This window comes from Homo sapiens, chromosome 13 (assembly GCF_000001405.40).
Source record: "Homo sapiens chromosome 13, GRCh38.p14 Primary Assembly".
NCBI classification, from domain to species: Eukaryota; Metazoa; Chordata; class Mammalia; order Primates; family Hominidae; genus Homo; species Homo sapiens.
This window is the reverse complement of record NC_000013.11, coordinates 81,801,138-81,822,401: the sequence shown is the minus strand read 5'-3', so window position 1 is coordinate 81,822,401 and position 21,264 is coordinate 81,801,138. Positions and strand designations below refer to the sequence as shown.

At 33.5% G+C, this 21,264-nt stretch overlaps 1 long non-coding RNA gene across 1 annotated transcript in view; it reads right to left on the bottom strand.

The window, feature by feature from the left end:
* LOC105370284 (uncharacterized) overlaps nt 1-17,436 on the bottom strand; it is a 43,873-nt gene extending 26,437 nt beyond the window's left edge. Inside the window, exon 1 of the long non-coding RNA XR_001750061.1 lies at nt 17,359-17,436. This is a non-coding gene — a long non-coding RNA (uncharacterized LOC105370284). The remainder of the gene's footprint in view (nt 1-17,358) is intronic.
* Nucleotides 17,437-21,264: the final 3,828 nt, after the last annotated feature.

The following is a 21,264-nucleotide window of genomic DNA, read 5'->3' as shown; positions in this document are numbered from 1 at the left end:
TTTGGAATTTTAAATAATTTATAAATATACATGTGTATATATGTGACTGTGTATATATACATATGCATATATATAGTTATTTGAGTTTTTTCTTTGACAATTACATGATATTAAATATAAGAATTGTGAATAGTTTTATATTCAACAAATTATGTAATACATTAACATTTTATAAATTACAATTTTAGTGTTGTTTAAATAAAAGTCTTTCAAATTGTATTAATGGCTCTAAGGGAGATGGTAATGAAAAATTAGTGTTTTAGTGTCAGTTAAATTTTGGCAAAAAGTCCAGAAATTTTTTTTTTCATTGTCGGCACATAGTTTAAATTTGTCACTATGAGACATAAGATCAATAGATGAATAGCCATTGCAATGTTTATATCAATTAAAAAATTACATAGGATATTTCTGGACCCACTTACAGTCAGAATATCTTTATGATCACATCATATCTCAAAAATATTATAAAAACTCAGAGAGGATGCCTTTTAAATACTCTTGACTCAATAGGATTTACATTAGATGAGACACTAAATAAACTAAAGGATTTAAGAAAAAAAAACTATCCCTTATATGAAGAGAGAATTATAAGAATTCTAAATGAGATTGTCTTAGATTTACACTACTCAATTAATGACTGTGACGTAGTTTTGGAATATGTATATAACACATATATCATTTACATATATTATTTATACTATATATTTAATGATATAGAATATTATATTTATATATATGCTAAATATATTGCAATAGCTTAAAATGACTATTCTAATGCGGATATTTTAATTTTAAATAATTTTTAAAATATTTGTTAATCTTGTAGAAATTAAGTTTTTGTGAATCAAAAGAGTTACATATGAAATGTGCACCAAGATTTTATTCCAATAACATTTTTAAGAATTTAGAAAATGGCCGGGCGCGGTGGCTAACGTCTGTAATCTCAGCACTTTGGGAAGCCGAGGCGGGCATATTACGAGATCAGGAGTTCGAGACCAACTTGACCAACATGGTGAAATCCTGTCTCTACTAAAAATACAAAAAAATAGCCAGGCTTGGTAGCACGTGCTTATAATCCCAGCTGCTCTGGAGGCTGAGGCAGGAGAATCACCTGAACCTGGGAGGCGGAGGTTGCAGTGAGCCAAGATCATGCCACTGCACTCCAGCCTGGGTGACAGAGCAAGACTCCATCTCAAAAACAACAACAACAAAACAAAACAAAACAAAAACAAGAATTTAGAAAAGAAGCCAAAATGATGATGAAGGAGAAATTAAATGTAAACTAGACTGCAGTCTAGTTAGAAACTATATCTGAGCACTATAGATTAAGGTGAAATCTCAATGGGAAAATATTTGAATAAGTTCAGAAGTTTTTAAACCAATGAGTAATATAGTGCTATTATCTTTGTTAGAATAATGATTAAAATATTATAGAAGATAAACCTAAGGGATACTATATAGATCTAAATAATCCAGTTGTCTTCACAATTTTGCCAGCTTTGGCTATATACCAAAAGCTTATAACTCATTCTTTCTATTTTCTTTATTTTTGTGTGTGTATACAGCAGGTATATAGATTTATGAGTTACATGAGATACTTTGATACAGGCATGCAACATGTAAGAATCTGGGTAAATGTTTTGAGGCATTCTGAACAAAGAATAAATGATATCCCACCATGATAAACAAGGTATCCATCCCCTCTAGTACTTATCCTTTATGTTGCAAACAATTCAGTTATACTCTTTTAGGTATTTGAAAGTGAACAATTAAATTACTATTGATTATAGTCACTCTGTTGTACTTTCTATTTTTCCAGTGCGAATGTATGGTTGTCAAGTTAGGAGAATAAAACAAATATTATTTAGTTGTTGATTAGTTTAATATGCAAATTTTAAGCATTTAGCACGTTATATTTTAAACACTATTTGAACTCTTGCCCTAGTTAAAAGTATAGAGATACATACACATTTCATAAGGATGACACTTTTATAATACATCTAAATGTGAGTTTATGTTTATTCTTTCCAGAATTTTCTTCCTGTGTATCTTGGTCCAGTGAATGGGGCCATTATTCATCTAGTTAAGTGAATCTGAAAGATTGAATTCATGTGACTGGTGCACTATACATCATCCTCTCTTACTGATTCAAAGACATTGCTTCAACAGTTTTTCCTTCTCACTCCCTTGCATCTTAATTTTTTTATTAACCACTTTATCTTTTCCATATGCACAAAAAATTATATTCTTACTCATATTTTACCAGAGAAAAGGCATTCTCTTAACTGCAGTTCCTTTTTAAAGGTCCCACTCCATTACTTTTCTCCCCATTACAATAAATTCTTTTGAAAGAATTGTCCATATTTCGTGAGACAAACTCTTCTCCTCCCAAAACTTTTAACCTTAATGTTATTTACTTGTTCTTTGCTTTCGTGCCTGTATTGCTTATTATTTTCAAATGTATTATTGATTTCTATCTATTATATATATTATCTGTATTTCCCTAAAATACAACTCTCATGATGTCAGCGATTTTTTTTCTCTCTCTTGTTTATTCATGGTCACCATGTGTCTACAAAGTTGATAAGCATAAAATAGGAGTTCAACAGATATTTGTTGAAGGAATTAATAAAGGAATTCATGATTTTCACCTGTCCCTCAACACCCTGATGTGCTTAATATTCAATATCTGTGTCAGATCTCTTTATTCTGTCCACTTCTTTTTATTCTCACTGACTGCACTTTCCTCTAAGCCACTGTTATTTTTTGGCCTAGTTTATTTAAAGTGTTTCCTAATTGCTCTTCCTATCTTAATCTCATCTTTCTCTCATTCTGTCTTTACATTGGAGCATGAGTGACCTTTCAAAAACACATGTTTTATCCACTAATCTTTGTACGTAAATATAGAATACTTAACTGCTGTCTATAAAATAAAATTTCCTGCTACGTTGTACAGGGAACTTTTTAACATGGGCACTGCTACCCTTTTTAGTCTTAACTGTCACGTGCTCCACATGTCATTATGAGTCTCACCAATTCCTGCTGTTCGACACTTACTCAGTTCCCTTTTCTGTTTGAAACTAAAAAGGTATGCTTGAAGTTACCCATCCTGTCTTTGCTCACTTCAGAAAAGAACACATCCAGGTCTACTCATTAAAGAATCTGATAAATTAATAAAATAAATATTTGTGATGAGAATATAGTTGTCTTAGCAGCTTTCTTCACATTTTCCCTTTTTTTATTTTTCATCTCACTGCAACCTCCACCTCCTGGGTTCAAGTGATTCTCCTGCCTCAGCCTCCTGAGTAGCTGGAACTACAGGCATGTTCCACCATGCCCGGCTAATTTTTTTGTATTTTTAGTAGAGACAGGGTTTCACCATATTAGCCAGGATGGTCTCAATCTGACCTCATGATCCACCTGCCTTGGCCTCACAAAGTGCTGGGATTACAGGCGTGAGCCACCGCGCCCAGCCACACATTTTCCCGTTTTCTTAAAGAAACCCATAGCGGTTTCATTCATCTCTTAAGCAGTTGAGTTGATAAAAATCCAGTCATATTTCAAAGGAGATATATTCGATTACTTACAACCACCAACTGGAAGATTAACCATTACTTTTGAAGCATGGTTAGGCAGGTGTCTGTATGGTAGCCAAGTAAACAAGACTTCTATGTAAGGTATGCTGGTTCTGGATGCTCTCCTGCCTAGCTCTTGTTCTGATGTTCCGTGATACAACACCTTAGCTGGTCATTTTCCTCCAAGAGCCACTGGATGGTCTCTTGATTGACTTTGCATTGCCCTGTAGCCAGTCCTGTTAGAAGGCCTCCAAGCTCTTGAATTGTTCAGAACCCAGCCTCAGACCATGCAGACAGAGTCAACAAAACCATAAATATTTTTGAATAAACAAATGGTTCTTTGATACATAAATTGTGTGCTTAAGTGCCACATAAATGATTGGTTTATATAGACAACATATATTAATGTTTTCCACTACTATTCTTATTATATTAATGTCATTTTGCTGTATATTTACCTTTATGTTTCCTCTTTTCTGTTAAATTTAATTCCCTTTGCACTTGTCTCCATCAAATGCGCTAGACTTCTCTCAGATAGTCCTGCCTAAATCTGTTCATGTTTTACTTCTTTCTTTTTAATAATTTCAACTTTTATTTTGGATTCAGGGAATACATGTGCAAGTTTGTTACATGGGTGTATTGTGTGACACTGAGGTGTTTGGGGTGTGAATGGTCCTGTCATGAAGATAGTGAGCATGGTACACAATAGATAGTTTTCAGCCTTTGCGGCCATTCCTCTCTCCACTTTCTGGTACCCTTGAGTGTCTATTGTTCCCATCTTTATGTCCATGCCTACTCAATGCTTAGTCCCTACTTGTAAGTAAGAACATGAACATGCAATGTTTCCTTGTCTGTTCCTGCATTAATTTGCTGAGTATAATGGCTTCTAGCTGCATCCATGTTGCTGCAAAGGGCATGATTTTATTCTTTTTTATGGCTGCATAGTATTCCATGGTCTATATATAAGCAACATTTTCTTTTTTATCCAGTCTACTGTTGATGGGCACTTAGATTGGTCCTATTTCTTTGCTTTTGTGAATAGTGCTGCAATAAACACACAAGTACATGGTCTTTTTGGTAGAACAATTTATTTTCTTTTGGATATATAATCAGTAATGGGATTGCTGGGTCAAATGGTAGGTCTGTTCTAAGTTCTTTGAGACATCTCCAAATTGCTTTCCACAGTGGCTAAACTAATACACATTCCCACCAACAGTGTGTAAGTGTTCCCTTTTCTCTCCAGCCTCACCAGCATCTGTTGTTTTTTGACTTTTTAATAATAGACATTCTAATTGGTGTGAGATGGTATCTGATTGCAGTTTTGATTTGCACAAAACAAATGATTAGTGATGTAGAGCATGTTTTCATATGCTTTTTGGCCACTTACATGTCTTCTTTTGATAAGTGCCTGATTATGTCTTTTGCCGAGATTCTATATATTGTTTGCAACTATCTTCTCTCATTCAGTAGGTTGTCTGTCTACTCTGTAGATGGCTTTTTTCTTTTTTGTTACACAAAATTCTTTAGTTTAATCAAGTCCCGCTTGTGAATTTTTGTTTTTCTTGCTATTACTTTTGAAGACTTAATCATAAATTATTTTCCAAGGCTGATGTCCAGAATGGTGTTTTCTAGGTTTTCTTCTAAGATTTTTACAGTTTGAGGGCTTACATTTAAGGATTTAATCCATCTGGAGTTAACTTTTGCATATGGTGAAAAGTTAAAGTACAGTTTCAGTTTTCTGCATAGGGCTAGTCAGCTATCCCAGCGTTATGGAATAGGGAATTCTATCCCCATTGCTTATTTTTGTCAACTTTGTCCAAGACCAGATGGCTGTGCAGATCAGATGCAGTGTTATTTCTGGTTTCTCTATTCTGTTCCATTGGTCTATGTGTGTGTACTTTTGTTTTTGTTTTTGTTTTCTACCAGTAACATGCTATTAAACCTGTTTAAAACTAAGACCATTTGATATAGTTTTGCTAATATGAAATTCTTCTCTACTTTTCAACAATACTAGGTGCTTAAGTATGATATATATACGTATATTTTAATACATTCACTATTTCATTTACTTATCCTTACCCCAAAAGGCACAATTGAAAATCTTTATACATGCATTTTGTAGCTGAAGATAAACTTAGCCAAGCAATATTTGTTGTGTAGAAGCGTGACATCCCAAGTTTCCCAAAAGAAACTATTATTAACATTTAAAAAGATGAGTAGCTTCAGATGAAGTAAGATATTGTATTTCATTGCCTAACCTACTTGTCACATTATATCGTGGCGTACCTTCAAGCACTATAATCTTTATGGTGTCTTAGAGATTGAGTTTGATACATAGCTCTGAACATTTTAGTATTTTATTTTAACTTACATAGGTTTATGTTTCTAATATATGAAATTGGCCTCTAATGAGTACTGACCCCATCAGTTGTGATATTACATGAACTAATTCACACCAAATGCTTTCACAGTACCTGATACTGAGTATGGGCTATACATTTTAGCTATTAATATAGGCCTATATTCTTTCAATCTTTGAATAATTTTTTTCACAAAGACTTTGAAAGTATGTATATGTATATGCATATCTAATTTAAAAATAAAAATAAAAAAAGCTTTGACTACACAGGATATATAAAGCCAGATTTTGTATCTCGTACTTCTACTAAACTTATAAATAATATTGAGGTGTAAGACAAAATTAGAGTGTTGCTTAGGAGAAAAGAGAAGAGATGGCTGTGCTTTCCTACCTAGGGAAATTAAGAAAAATTTAGGGATTATTGGTTATAGGGTTAATGTCATTATACGATTAATAAATAATACAAATAAGGGTTTGTGCATGAAAATTTTCAGAAGAAATGACAAAAATTTGTACTCTTTTACAAACTTATGTACACACATACATACATACGCACCATCAATTTTCAAGGCATGTTTTGGCATGTGATTCAAAGTCTCATGTGCCATTGTCTTGTCAATGTGTGTAATAGCTTCAGGTAATAGCACATGATACCTTGGGATTATTTATGGAGTAGCACTCTAGAGATAGACATTGTCAAAGATATTCCAGATTAAAAACTGGATTATAACATCCTGTTACAACTTTATCAAAACAAACTTCATCAATGCATGAGGTTAATATGCATTTTAAAGGTTGAAGGGCAAGGGTTTAGAGCAGACGTCATTGAAATATGGACCATATACCAATTCCTGTCTGTTGCCTGTTTTTGTAAATAAAGTTTTATTAGACCAGAGCCATCCTTATTGGTTTACAAGCAAGCAGCCATAGACTGCTTTCCTGCTGCAAGAGAGTGTTAAATACTTTCTGCAGAAACCATAAAACTCACAATTTTAAGATATTTACTACTTAGCTACTTAAAGAAGCTTGTTGACCTTTTGTATAGAAGGCCTGTAACTTCTTATGGTTTGTGAGGAATGTGTGCCATGCCAACGTTTTGGAGACTTGGTGAATGTTTTGAGGCATTCTGAACAAAGAATAAAAAGAAGCTTAAACAAACTTATTTAATAAATTAATTCCCACATGCAATTTAGTTAAAATAATTTAATAGTTAAAAATTTTTAATTAATTTTTGTGGGTACATAGTAGGTATATTTATGAAGTACATGAAAACTTTTGGCACAGACATGCAATGTGTCATAATCTCATCAGGGTAAAAGAGGTATCCATAACCCCAAAAATTTATCGTTAGTGTTACAAACAATCTAATTACACATTTTTAGTTATTTGTAAATGTACAATAATTTTTTTTTTACTATAGTCACCCTGTTTTGCTAGCAAATGGTAGGTCTTATTCATTCTTGCTAACTACATTTCATACCCATTAACCATCTCCACTTCCTTCTCGCCACCACCACAATACCCTTTCCCAGCCTCTGATACCCATCCTGTTACTCTCTGTCTCCATGAGTTTAATTATTTTAATGTTTAACTCCCAGAAGCAAGTGAGAACATGTCAAGTTTTTGTTTCTATGGCTAGATAATTTCACTTAACATAATGACCTTCAGTTCCATCCATGTTGTTGCAAATGACAGCATCTCTTTATTTTAATGGCTGAATAGTACTTTGTTGTGTCAATGTACCATATTTTCTTTATGTTTCCTTCTGTTGACGGACACTTAGGTTGCTTCCAAATCTTGGCTATTGTAAACAATGATGCAATAAATATGGTAGTGCAGATATTTCTTCATGATGTTTATTTTCTTTTTTTTTGAGTATATATCTAACAGTGGAATTGCTGGATCACATGGTAGCTGTCTTTTTAGTTTTAAAGAACCTCCAAACAGTTCTCCATAGTAGTTGTACTAATTTACATTTCCACAGTGTATGAGGGTTCCCTTTTCTGCACATCCTCACCGGCCTTTGTTATTGCGTGTCTTTTAAATAAAAGCCATTTTATTTGAGATGATATCTCAAATGATATATCTTTTTGAGATATATCATTTGAAATGATATCTTTTTGAGATATATCATTTGAGATGATATCTCATTGTAGTTATGATTTCCATTTCTCTGATGGTCAGTGAGGTTGAGCACCTTCTCATATACCTGTTTGCCATTTGTAGCTCTCCTTTTGAGACATATCTATCAGATATGTTGCCCATTTTTTAAAAAATCAGATATCTTTTTTCCTATACAATTGAACTCCTTATGTATTCTGATTATTGATAATTTGTCAGATTGGTAGTTTGCAAATATTTTCTCTCATTCTGTGGGTTGTCTCTTCACCCTGTTGATTGTTTCCTTTGCTATGCAGAAGATTTTTAATTTAATAGGATCCTGTTAGTCCATTTTTGCTTTGGTTGCCTGTGCTTGAGGTTGATTCCTCAATAAATCTTTGCCAAATCCAATGTCCTGGATAGTTTCTCCAGTATTTTCTTCTAGTAGTTTGATGTCTTAGATTTAAGTCTTTAATTCATTTTGATTTGATTTTTGTATAGAGAAAGAGATAGAGGGTCAACGTTCATTCTTCTGTGTATAGATATCCAGTTTTCCCAGCATCTTTATTGAAGAGACAGTACATTCCCCAATGTTTGTTCTTGGCACCATTGTCAAAAATGAGTTTACTGTAGATGTATGGATTTATCTCTTGGATCCGTATTCCATTCTACTGATATATTTGTCCATTTTTCTTCCAGTACCATGTCATTGTGGGTACTGTATCTCTGTAGTATAATTTCAAGTAAGGTAATATGATTCCTTCAGTTTTTTTTTTCTCCTTTGTTTAGGATAGCTTTGGCTATTCTAGGTCTTTCATGGCTTCATATAAACTTTAGAATTTTTTCTGTTTCTGTGAAGAATTTCATTATTTTTTTAACGGGAAATACAATAAATCTATAAATTGCTTTGGGTAGTATAGATATTTTAACAACATTGATTCTTTCAATCTATAAACATGGAATATCCTTCCATTTTTGTGTGTTGTCTTCAGTTTCTTGCATCAATGTTTTATACTTCTTACTGTAGAGATCTTTGACTTCTTTAGTTAATTTCTAGAAATTGTATTATATTGCAGCTATTGTAAATAGGGTTATTTTCTTGATTTCCTTTTCAGATTGTTTGCTGTTGGCATATAATTAGAGCTGAAGAGAAAGATAGACCTCAATTTAAAAAAATATCTGGAGATGTCAACACCCTGTTTCATCATTCTATAGGTCATCCAGACAGAATATCAACAATGAAATATTAGACTGAATCAGCCCTACAGACTAAATGGACCTAATAAATATTTACAGAACATTTCATCTAATGGCTTCAGAATATTCATTCTTTCCCTCAGTACCTGGACCATTCTCAAGGCTAGAAATCCTACTTATTTTTGTTCATTGAATGGTATCCTGCAACTTTACTGAATTTATTTATTAGTTCTAATTGTTTGTCTTGGTAGAGTCTTGAGGTTTTTTCAAGTATAAGATTATATCATCTGCTAACAAGGATAATCTGACTTCTTCCTTTCCAATTTGGATGCCCTTTATTTCTTTCTCTAGCATGTTTGCTCTAGCTAAGACTTCCAGTCCTATGTTGAATAATAGGGGTGCAAGTGGGCATTCTTGTCATGTTTCTGACCTTAAAGACTTTCACTTTTTCTCCATTCAGAATAATACTAGCTATGAGCCTAATAAAAGCCAGGTGTGGCTTTCATTATGTTGAGATATGTTCCTTCTACTCCTAGTTTTTTGAAGGTTTTTATCATGAAAGGATGTTGCATTTTATCAAATGCTTTGCAGCATTAATTGACATCATATGGTTTTGTCCTTATTTCTGTTGATATGATGTGACACATTAATTGATTTGTATATGTTGAACAATCCTTGCATCCCTGGGATTAATCATACTTGGTCATAATGAATAATCTTTTCATTATCTTGTTGAATTTGGTTTGCTAGTATTTTGCTAACAATTTTTGCATCAATATTCATCAGGGATATTGGCCTGTAGTTTTATTTTTTAATTATTTTTGAGGTGTCTTTTTTTGGTTTTGGTTTCAGAGTAATACCAGTCTTGCAGAATGCATTTGGAAGTATTCCCTCCTCTTCTATATTTTGAAATAGTTTGAGTAGAATTGGTATTAGTTCTTCTTTAAATATTTGGTAGAATTCAGCAATGAAACCATCAAGTCCTGGGCTTTTCTTTGCTGAGAAACTTGTTATTATAGCTTTGATATTGTTACTTGATATTGGTCTGTTTAGGTTTTGAATGTCTTCATCATTTAATCTTGGTAGGTTCTGAGTGTCAAGGAATTTATCCATTTCCTTTAGATTTCCCAATATATTAGCATATAGTTGCACATATTAGCCACTAATGAGTCTTCGAATTTCTGTGATATCAGTTGCTATTTCCCCTTTTTCATCTCTTAATTTATTATTTGGATCTTCTGTATTTTTCTCTTAGTCTCACTAAAAGTGTGTTAATTTTCTTTACTTTTTCAAAAAAAAAGTTTTTGTTTCATTTATCTTTTGTATTGTTTTCTTCATTTCAAATTCATTTATTTCTGCTCTGATCTTTATTATTTCTTTTCTTCTACTAATTTCATGTTTGGTTTGCTCTTGCTTTTCTAATTCTTTACAATGCAGTTAGGTTGTTTATTTGATGGTTTTCCTGTTTTTTGATGTAGGCCCTTACAGCTATTAACTTCCTTCCTAGTATTGCTTTTGCTGTATCTCATAGGTTTTGGTATATTGTGTTTCCATTATAATTTGTTTCCAGGAAATTTTCAATTTTCTTTTTAATTCTTCATTGACCCACTGGTCACTCAGGAGTATATTGATTAATTTCCATGTGTTGGTATACTTTCAAAAATTGCTCTTGCTATTGATTTCTAGTTTTATGCCATGGTGTTTAGAGAAGATACTTGATATTATTTCAGTTTTTTGGAATGTCTAAAGACTTGTTTTCTGGCCTAATATATAATCTAGCCTTGAGAATGGTCCAGGTACTGAGGGAAAGAATGAATATTCTGAAGCCATTAGATGAAATGTTCTGTAAATATTTATTAGGTCCATTTAGTCTGTAGGGCTGATTCAGTCTAATATTTCATTGTTGATATTCTGTCTGGATGACCTATAGAATGATGAAACAGGGTGTTGACATCTCCAGATATTTTTTTAAATTGAGGTCTATCTTCCTCTTCAGCTCTAATTATATTTGTTTTATATATCTTGGTGTTCCAGTGTTGGGTTCATATATAATTACAATTGTTACATTCTCCTGCTGAATTGACTCTTTATTATTATATAGTGACCTTCTTTGCTCTTCTAATAGTTTTTGTCTTGAAAACTGTTTTGCATAAGTATAATTATTCTTGCTCTTTTCTGATTTCCATTGGCACAGAATATCTTTTTACATCTTTTTACTTTCAGTATATATGTGTTTTTATAGGTGAAGTGAGTTTCTAGTAGGCAACTGATCATTGGGTCTTGCTTTTTATCCATTTGACCATTCCGTCTTTTGATCTGAGAGTTTAGTCTATTTACATTCAATGTTATTATTGATGAGTAAGAACTTACTCCTGCCATTTTGTTATTTTTTATTGTTTTGTGGTCTTCACTTCTTTTTTTTCTTCCCTTCATGTCTTTCTTTTAGAGAAAGTAATTTTCTTTGGCAGTATGATTTAATTTCTTGATTTTTATTTTTTGTGTATCTGTTGTAAGTTTTTTGATTTGAGGTTACCATAAACCTCGCAAATACTATGTTAGGACCCATCACTTTAACCTGATAACAAGTTAACACTGTTTGTATAAAAAATAAACAAGCAAATAAACTAATAAAAATTGTACATGTTAGCTTTATTTTCCCAGTGTTTAACTTTTGTTGTTTCAATTTATATTTTATTGTATTGTCTATGTCTTGAAAAGTCATAGTAGTTATTTTTGATTGGGTTATTGTTTAGATAAGAATAGTTTAGAAACTACAGTTACACTGTTGTACTATTCTGTGTTTTTCTCCATACTTACTATCATCAATGAGTTTTGTACCTCTGGTAATTTCCTTTCACTTATTAACATCTTTTTTTTTTCTGATTGAAGTACTCTCTTTAGTATTTCTTGTTGAATAGTTCAGTTGTTGATGAAATCTCTCAGCTTTTGTTTGTCTGGGAAAGTCTTTATTTCTCCTTCATATTTGAAGTATATTTCCTGTGGATATATTATTCCAGGATAAAGAGTTTTTTTGTTTGTTTGTTTTCCTTCAGCACTTCAAACATGTTATGCCACTCTCTCCTGGCCTGTAAGGTTTCCACTGAAAAGTCTGCTGACTGATGTATTGGAATGGCATTGAAAGTTATTTGTTTCTCTTCTCTTGCTGCTTTTAGAGTTCTTTCTTTATCCTTGACATTTTGGAATTTGATTATTAAATACCTTGAGGTAGTCTTCTTTGGGTTCAATCTTTTTGGTGTTCTATATCCTTCTCATACTTGGATATTGATATCCTTCTCTAGGTTTAGGAAGTTCTTTGTTATTATCCCTTTGAATGTACTTCTACCCCTATCTCTTTCTCTACCTCTGCTATTAGGCCAATAACTCTTAGATTTTCCCTTTTGAAGCTGTTTCCTAGATAAGATAGGCATGCTTCTTGGCTTTCTTTTTTCTTTTGTATTTTCTATGTATTTTTAAGTAGCCCATGCTCAATCTCACTAATTTTTTCGTCTGCTTGACCAGTTTTGCTAGAAAAATATTCTGATGCCTTCTTCAGTATTTCAATTGAATTTTTCAGTTTCAGAATTTCTCCTTTAAACCTTTTAATTATTTTAATATCTGTGGCAAATCTATCTGATAGAATTCTGAATTCCTTCTGTGTTATCTTAAAATTTCATTGAGTTTCCTCAAAACAGCTGATTTGAATTCTCTGTCTGAAAGGTCACATATGTCTGTTCTCTAGGATTGGTCCCTGGTACTTTATTTGGTTCATTTGGTGAGTTCATATCTTCCTGGATGATCTTGATTATTGTGTATGTCCATCTATGCCTGAGCATTGAAGGGTTTGGTATTTACTGTGGTCTTCACAGTCTGGGCTTGTTTGTACCTGTCCTTCTTGGGAAAGCTTTCCAAATATTCAAAAGGAATAAGGTGTTGTGTTATAAGTTGTGTTTCTATTGGGGGCCACCCCAAGCCCAGTTATCCTGTGGTTCTTGCACAGTCATAGAGGTACCACCTTGATCGTCTTGAATAAGATCCAGAAGAAATCTATAGATTGCCAGGCAGACACTCTTATTCTCTTCCCTTACTTTCTCACAAAAAAATGTTTCTCTCTCTTTCTGAGCCACCTGCAACTGGGGATGAGGTGACACAAGCACCCCTGTGGTCACTGGGACTGTGCTGGGTCATACCTGAAGCCAGGATCTTGCCCAACACCTGCTGAAACAACTACCTGGCTACCTGGGCAGTTATTTCCCCCAGGCCCCAGGTTATTCATGAGGTGCTAGCCACGAACCAGGGACTGGAGTCAAAATGTTAGCAGTCTATCTATTGTCCTATTGTGCTATGGATGAGCTGACAAACAATGAGATGCAGTTTTTCTCACTTTTTTTCTCCCAGTTCCACAGGCAAAGGAGCTTTACCCACCACCGCAGGCCCACAGGGAGTACTGCCAGCCTACCGCCAATGTTCCCTTAGGGTCCAAGGGTTCCTCAGTCAGCTTGTGGTGAATGCTGCCTGGCCTGGGATTCATCCTTCAGGCTGAGGTCTCCTCTCTGACCCAGAGAAGGTCCAGAAATGTCTTCCAAAATCCAAATCCTGGCTTTGGAAATCCCAAGAGCCTCCTTGGTGCTTCATCCCACTGTGGACAATCTGGTACCTAAGGCGCAAGACAAAGTTCCCTTCCTTTTCTATCTATTGTCTCAGGCAACGGTTTTTGCTCATAGCCACCACAGCTAGGAATATGCCAAGTTTCATTTGAAGTCAGTTTGTCTCAGTTTTACCCAAGGTCCATGGCGTACTATTTAGGGGCCAAGGGCACTTTAGCCTGCAGGCAAAGAATTCTGCTAGGACAAAGTCCTTTTCCTAAAGGCAGTGGGCTCCCTTCTGGCCAAAGTGTATCTAGAAATGTCATCTGGGAGCTAGGGCCTGGAAAAGGGGCCTTATGACTCTGCCTAGTGCTCTATCCTAATGTGGCTGAGCTTGTATCCAAGATGCAAGACAAAGTTCTCTTTATTCTTCCTTCTCATCTCCTCAGTTGAAAGGTAGGCATCTCCTTTGGAGGCATGAGCTCTGAAGCCTGGGTTTGGAAAAGGGGTGACATAGCACTCCTTCATCCACCCTGTTTGATGCCTCAATAGTCACATACCACCCACATCCTCTGGCTCTGAGCCCAATTCAGCAGTAGGACTCATCTAGGACTTGTAGTCCTTGTGGCCTAGACTGCATTTGAAGTTTATTTAGGTCCCAGTGCACTTTTGACCATGGTGGCAGGTCTTGCTCAAACTCAAGTTCTGACTGCTGAGGTAAACAATTTCCCTCTGGCTAGAGCTGATTTAAATACTCCCTCTGTGGGCAGGCATCAACTGATTTCAGCTTAGTTTTGCTTTCTACCATGACAGGGTAAGTTCAATGCAATGTCTCAGAATCCCTGTCCTCTCCCTCTCTCACACACACATTCTCTTTCCATGCCATGCAGCCACTGCTGGGGTGTTTGGGGCAGGTGGCATCAGTGATTCAAGACTCTTCAGATCAAGCTAACATAGCCATCACTTCACATACTTGTCATTTATTTGTGATACAAATATTTAAAATTCATTCTTTTAGCAATTTGGAAACATACAATACACTATCATTAACTATAGTCACCATGCTGTTCAATCAATCACTAGGACTTATTCTTTCTAACTGAAACTTTGTACCCTTTTACCAATACTCTCCTTTCCTGTACTCTCCTCTCCCCCTTAGCATCTGGTAACCAACATTCTAGTCTCTACCTCTATGAGTTCCATTTCTTTACATCCCACATGTGAGATCAGGTGGTATTTGTCTTTCTGTGCCTGGCTTATTTCACTTAGCATAGTATCCTCTAGATTCATCTGTGTTATCTCAAATGACAGAATTTCCTACTTTTTAAAGGCTAACTATATATACACAATGGAACACTATATATGTGTGTGTGTGTGTGTGTGTGTGTATATTTATATATACAAAACACATTTTTATTCCATTCATCTATTGATGGGCACTTCGATTCTTTCCATATCATGGCTATTGTAAATAGTGCTACAATGAACATGTGAGTACACTTATCTTCTTGATGTACTGATTTCACTTTCTTTATGGATATATTATAACCAGTAGTGTAAATTTGCTGGGTCATATGGCAATTCTATATTTAGTTTTTGAGGAGCTTCCATAATGACTATAATAATTTAACATTCCCACCAACAGTGCACAAGAGTTATCTTTTCTCCACATCCTTGCCAACACTTATAACTAATCACCAGGAAAGTGTGAGTTAAACCATAACTAAATATTACCTCAAACTGGTTAGAATGGCTATTCTTAAAATATTTAAATTTTTCTTAGCTTTTCCATTACAAAAATTTTTCTAAAATATTTTAAATTTAAAGAAATTCTTCAAAGTGTCTGGTGTGTATTACAGTTAATATTGGCTACATTTTAAGAGATGGTTAACACACTATTTCAGAAATAATTGAATATTTAAAGTCAAAATAGAGTAAGCTGTATATCCTGAATTTCAAAAATATGGAATTTATTATATTAATATAAGAAACCTTTATATGTAACATATCTAAATGTCTGTAAATTTTATTTAAACATTATTTTAAATAGCAATTATTGAACCTTAAATAGTAGAAGAGACATTATGACTAATTACTCAGCTGTCCCACATTCTTATCCAGATGAATAAACTTGGGAAAGCTTTGGCATTATTTCAGTTGGGAAGGGTGTGAATGACACTATTTAGCTGTTTAGTGATGTTATGAGAGACGATGATGGTGCACAGTCTTTAGGTAAGAATTGGGAACCATTTTACGTTGAGCTTATTGCTCTAGAGAAATGAAATCCCTACCATCCCCACATCCCTCTTTGTGGCAATACTGCTCTGCAACCCATGTATTGCCTGTGATTCTTGCTGCTCAGGGCTTAATGTCTGCTAGTGAGGAACTGCCTTTTTCTAGCCTTTAGTGGCTAAAGTACTCTGGAAAAAGACAATAGGTATATAAAACAAAGATGGAAGACAATGAGAATGTAAGACAAGAGTGAAATATCTGGGTTTCTACAGAACAAATGATTTAGTAATATTAGTACATTTCCTGAATGCCCTATAATGCCAAATATCTATAGTGAGGAAGCATTAGTCACCTTTTCGTTTATTATTTGCATTTCTTACATAGTAAAATACTTTTATACAGCAAGATAATTCTGGAATACATGGATACTGTGAAACACGTATACTCTTATATGTGTTTTGCTAGCATCCTAAAAATATTTCCATGTTCTGTTTGGGTTTTGATTCCCTAAAATAATAACTCTGCCTGACTGCTGAGGATGTGGTATGCTCAGGTCATTTTCCTACAAGGGAAGCTGCTAAAGATAAAGTGGATCACAGGGTGATGATGAAAGGACACAGTTATATTAGCATCCCTTAGGTCAAACTCTGTAATGTGTAGATCAAACTCTGTTTTCTTCTTTCATAGACCTTGCAGCAGGAAAGTTGACCATAGATAAAATATCTCTCAATTAAATTTTGTTTTTTGTTTTCTGTTTTAGATAAGGTTTGGAGGGAGTAATCTCTCGGAGAAATCATTTGAAAATGGATGTTATTTCCAAGACTTTTAGATCTTCTGAACTACCATTATAATTATTCTGTGATCACTCCAAAAATTACTTATTGATGCTAGGTGAATACAAACTCTATGCTGGGCAACACTATGAGGAAGAAACAGTTCAGAATATAAGAGGAAATATACATTTATAAAATATAGTATTAGACATCAGTATCAGATATTACTATCAGAGTATGAGTCTCCCTTTCAGAGTCATTTAAACACGAAATATTTATTGAGAACATTCATGTGCCTAAAGCTTTTTCAGAATTTAGGGTATCAAGGATTCCCCATACATAACCTCTAAAATTCATAACGTTATAGAATAGTGGGAGGGTATAGGAGAATAATTAGAGACTGAGAAAAGGATTACAGGAACCATACAAACACAACCACCCTATCATAAAGGCTACCATAATTACATCTATTTTACAGGTGAGGAACATGAGAAATAAAAGGAAGGTAACTTGCCCAAGGTCACTGGGCTACTAAATACCTGAGGTGAGCCGAGCAGTTTAGTTTCAGATTGTGCAGTCTTGACCATTAAGCCATACTGCCTTCACAAGGATGAAACAGCATGCAAGCTGGGGAGTGGAGAGAGACAGAATTGTTGATAAAAGATCTTGAAGAGTCTTGTGAGCATAAAAAGGGACTTTGAATTTTGCCATAGTATCAGAGAAGCTATTGAAATCTTAGAACGACAGTTTTGTTATGCAACAAGCAGAAAAGCTACCCAAAAGAAGTGATATCCAAACTGAGCTTTCAAGGTTTAAGGGGGATAGAAAACAGGAATGCTTAGTATTTACAAATGAAGTAGTGATAAACTCCAACAGACAATACCCATAATAAGGAAGGGCAAAGGAGACCTATATCACCATCTTGATGTTCCATAGTATGGAATCCACAGAGGGACAATAACCCATGCCAAGTTCCCCCAGTTCTCCTATGATGCTGGAGCCCTACGTAAAAGAATTTGTTCCCATGGTTGTAGTTCCAGGAAAGTGAGAGAATATATAGAATATATTGGTTCTGTGACCCTAGGTGTGTGATGCCTTGTTTGCATGTGTGTGTGCATGTTTGCATGAGCAGCCATGTATGTGATTCTATACCTATAAATTGCTGAAAGCACAAAACTCCACAAAGCTAAATAAATAAATTCAAAGGACTTGTGCTTTGAGGGTTCTGAAATATTCACCTCTCCTCACTCAAATAATTTTAATCATTTTAAACACAGTTAACCATTTTAAAAATATTTAACACAAAGTCTTTTGTTCTTTTTTATTTTTTGTATTTTTGTATTTTGTGATTGGTAAAATGAGCTTGGCCCCAAGGGCAAATGGCTCCATTTGCTACTCTCCTTTATCCCAAGTCTGGCTTATAGGAAATGCCTCTGTAGGGATTTGGTACTGGAGGGAAAACACACACAAATATACAGGTAGTTCGATGAAGAAGCAGAAATTATTAACAAATCTGTTGTCTTTAGATAAGAAAAAATAGAGTTTAGAAGAGAAATTTCTCACACATACCTTTCAAATATACACATTTGTGTTTTGTTTTGTTGTTTGTTTGATTGATTTTGTTGTTATTTTATTACATAAGGCCACGGAGCTAGTAAAATAAAGACCCAATTTGATTTTGCAGTATATATTGAAAAAATTTTCTAATCTGTTTAATCCCTAAAGTTACCAAAGATGTAAAAGAAATTACGTACCTTTTGAATAGATAAATATTTATAAAAAGGGCATCCTGTTTGAGGGTTCTATCAAATGCATTAGAATGTCCAGAACAGAAAGATTTTTTTTTGTATACTTTAAGTTCTAGGGTACATGTGAACAAGATGCAGGTTTGTTACATATGTATACATGTTCCATGCTGGTGTGCTGCACCCATTAACTCGTCATTTACATAAGGTATATATCCTAATGCTATCCATCCCCCATCCCCGAACCCCACAACAGGCCCCGGTGTGTGATGTTCCCCTTCCTGTGTCCAAGTGTTCTCATTGCAGAACAGAAAGATTTTCTGTTACTTACAAATTTCCTGAAAGACATGTTTCCTTTCTCTTCTATGTTAAAACTTGTGTTTCTAAGTAATTAAAAAAAAAAAAAACTACATCCTTAGAAAAAGTTAAATTCAACTTCCCAAGCCATCATCTTTCTTATGAACATTTTGGTCACTAACCCCCAGCATCTCAATGACCTAGGTTAACGGTAAATTCCAAATTATGCAAAAAAAGAAAGCAAGAAATGTATTTTCTCACATCATTCAAGGTCATAATGTTGGACACAGAACCCAGAGTTAAAAAGTTCAGATTATTCAGTTTTACATTGGCAAATTATTGTATTCCTATTCTTATTTCCCTAACTCTTAAGCGTGGAGTTTAAAGATGTCATTAATATTTAACATTCTAATGAGACTTTTCTACAACTTCACTAACTTTCAAAAAAGGTTTTCTCCAAGTAATTGAAACACAAGGTAAATTTTGTTTTCAAACTGCATAGTAAATAAACTAATAGTAATAATGCCATAAAAAGTTCTTACCTGATGTTTTTAGGCAACCAGATATTTTTAGTATTATGTCTATTGAAGTTTTATACTACACTACTTTCCAATAATCTGAAATGTGTCAGGAGTATAACTTACTTTGAAAATGAAGAATGTATTTTGAAACATGTCATAATTACCATGCATATTAATGCAGTCCTCTTCATTGCATTTTAACTATAATGTTGCTGTTGAATGATGAAGATATTTATGTACATATTAAAATACAGACATTCAAAGTAAGTTTTGCAACACAAGAAGTCATTTTTGCTAAAAAAAAAAAAAAGGAAACTGAACACAGTTCTATATTAAATGAGATTAGGTTTTAATCCTTAATTTTGTTAGATGTGATAATATTATTAGTATATATGAAAGATAGGTATGTTGTTGTTATTGTTAAAACATTATATATTTTTATTAATATGTAAGAAAAAAGGTTAATATAGAAGAAAAAACATATTTGTGTATTAGAGATAAATATTTGTATGATGAAATTATTGGTTTGGCATTTACTTTAAAACACTCCAGAAAAGAAGTTTTAAGAGAAATAATTGAGACAAAAATTGTAAAATATTCATAATTATTATAACTGAGTTGTAACTTACATATGATTAATTAGTTATTTCCCTTCTTTTGTGTATGCTTGAAACTTTCTGTAATAAAAAATAACAAATTAAAAATAATCAGTTTATTATTTAGTCTAGAGAAAATTGAGGTTTCACCATCAATATAATATTCTTCTTATTTTAATTTTGGTGATTTTCTCCATTTCAATACAAAAGAGATGTTGTTCCATTAGTAGTGAATATCCTCGTTTTAATGGCTAAGTAATTTTTAATGAAATTAAATATTTAAAGTTGAATAACGATTTATTCAATATTAATATAGATAAAACAGTACACTTTCAAATACTAGTAAATTTAGTAGTTATCATAAACTACTACTATAGTTAGTATAATGTCAAGATAAAGTGAACTTTTACTTAGAGGTATAAATTGATACTTTCTTTAATCTTCTTCATGTGAAAAGTCAATCTCTCGGCAATTTATGTTTGCTCTCACCTTGTTCGTTTATTATCATTTGAGTCATATTTTAATATCACTTAAATATTTGTGAATAAAAATCATATATTTCCTGGAAAATTTTTAAGTGTAGACTGAAGAAAAATATGTCAGACATAATATCAAAGACATAAAGATGTACTGATTCTGAGGCAAATAAGATAGTCTCCCAATGAAATTAACTAGAAAAATATAACCACACACATAAGACTATACTCATTTATCTGTTTAATTTGTAAACATATTAAATGAAATATAAGAAATTAAATAAAGAATGGAAACTTCTTAGGAATGGCAGATAATTTAACAATGCAGAGAAATTAGCCATTTTTTTAGAATTGTAAAGAGCAACAAAATATAAAATTATATGTGACACTTGTGGTTAAAAATACTTTACTTTTATTAGTTTATTTTTTATTCAGAAACATAAAAGGAAAATAACACTATAATACATAGTTATGCTAGTAATAATAATATCATCATTAAATGGGGTTGTGTGGTCATTGTATTTGGGTTGTATGTTTAGTCCGCAAACTGTTATGTGGACTCATACACACTTCTTTGAACCCTATGTTGTATCAGCTTTGCACCAAACAGAATTATAAACCAAAGACATTGGAACAGTTAAAAACTGGAAATTATATACATGACTCAAAGACTGACTCAAGCTTCTTGAATTTCCATCATAAAGGGACAGGGAAATACAGTCTATTTTTACCTGTTCTTCCATAGTTACCTTCACATATCTCCATCACAATAGAGTTATTGGAAGGGGTATTAGAGAGAAATGCAAAAGT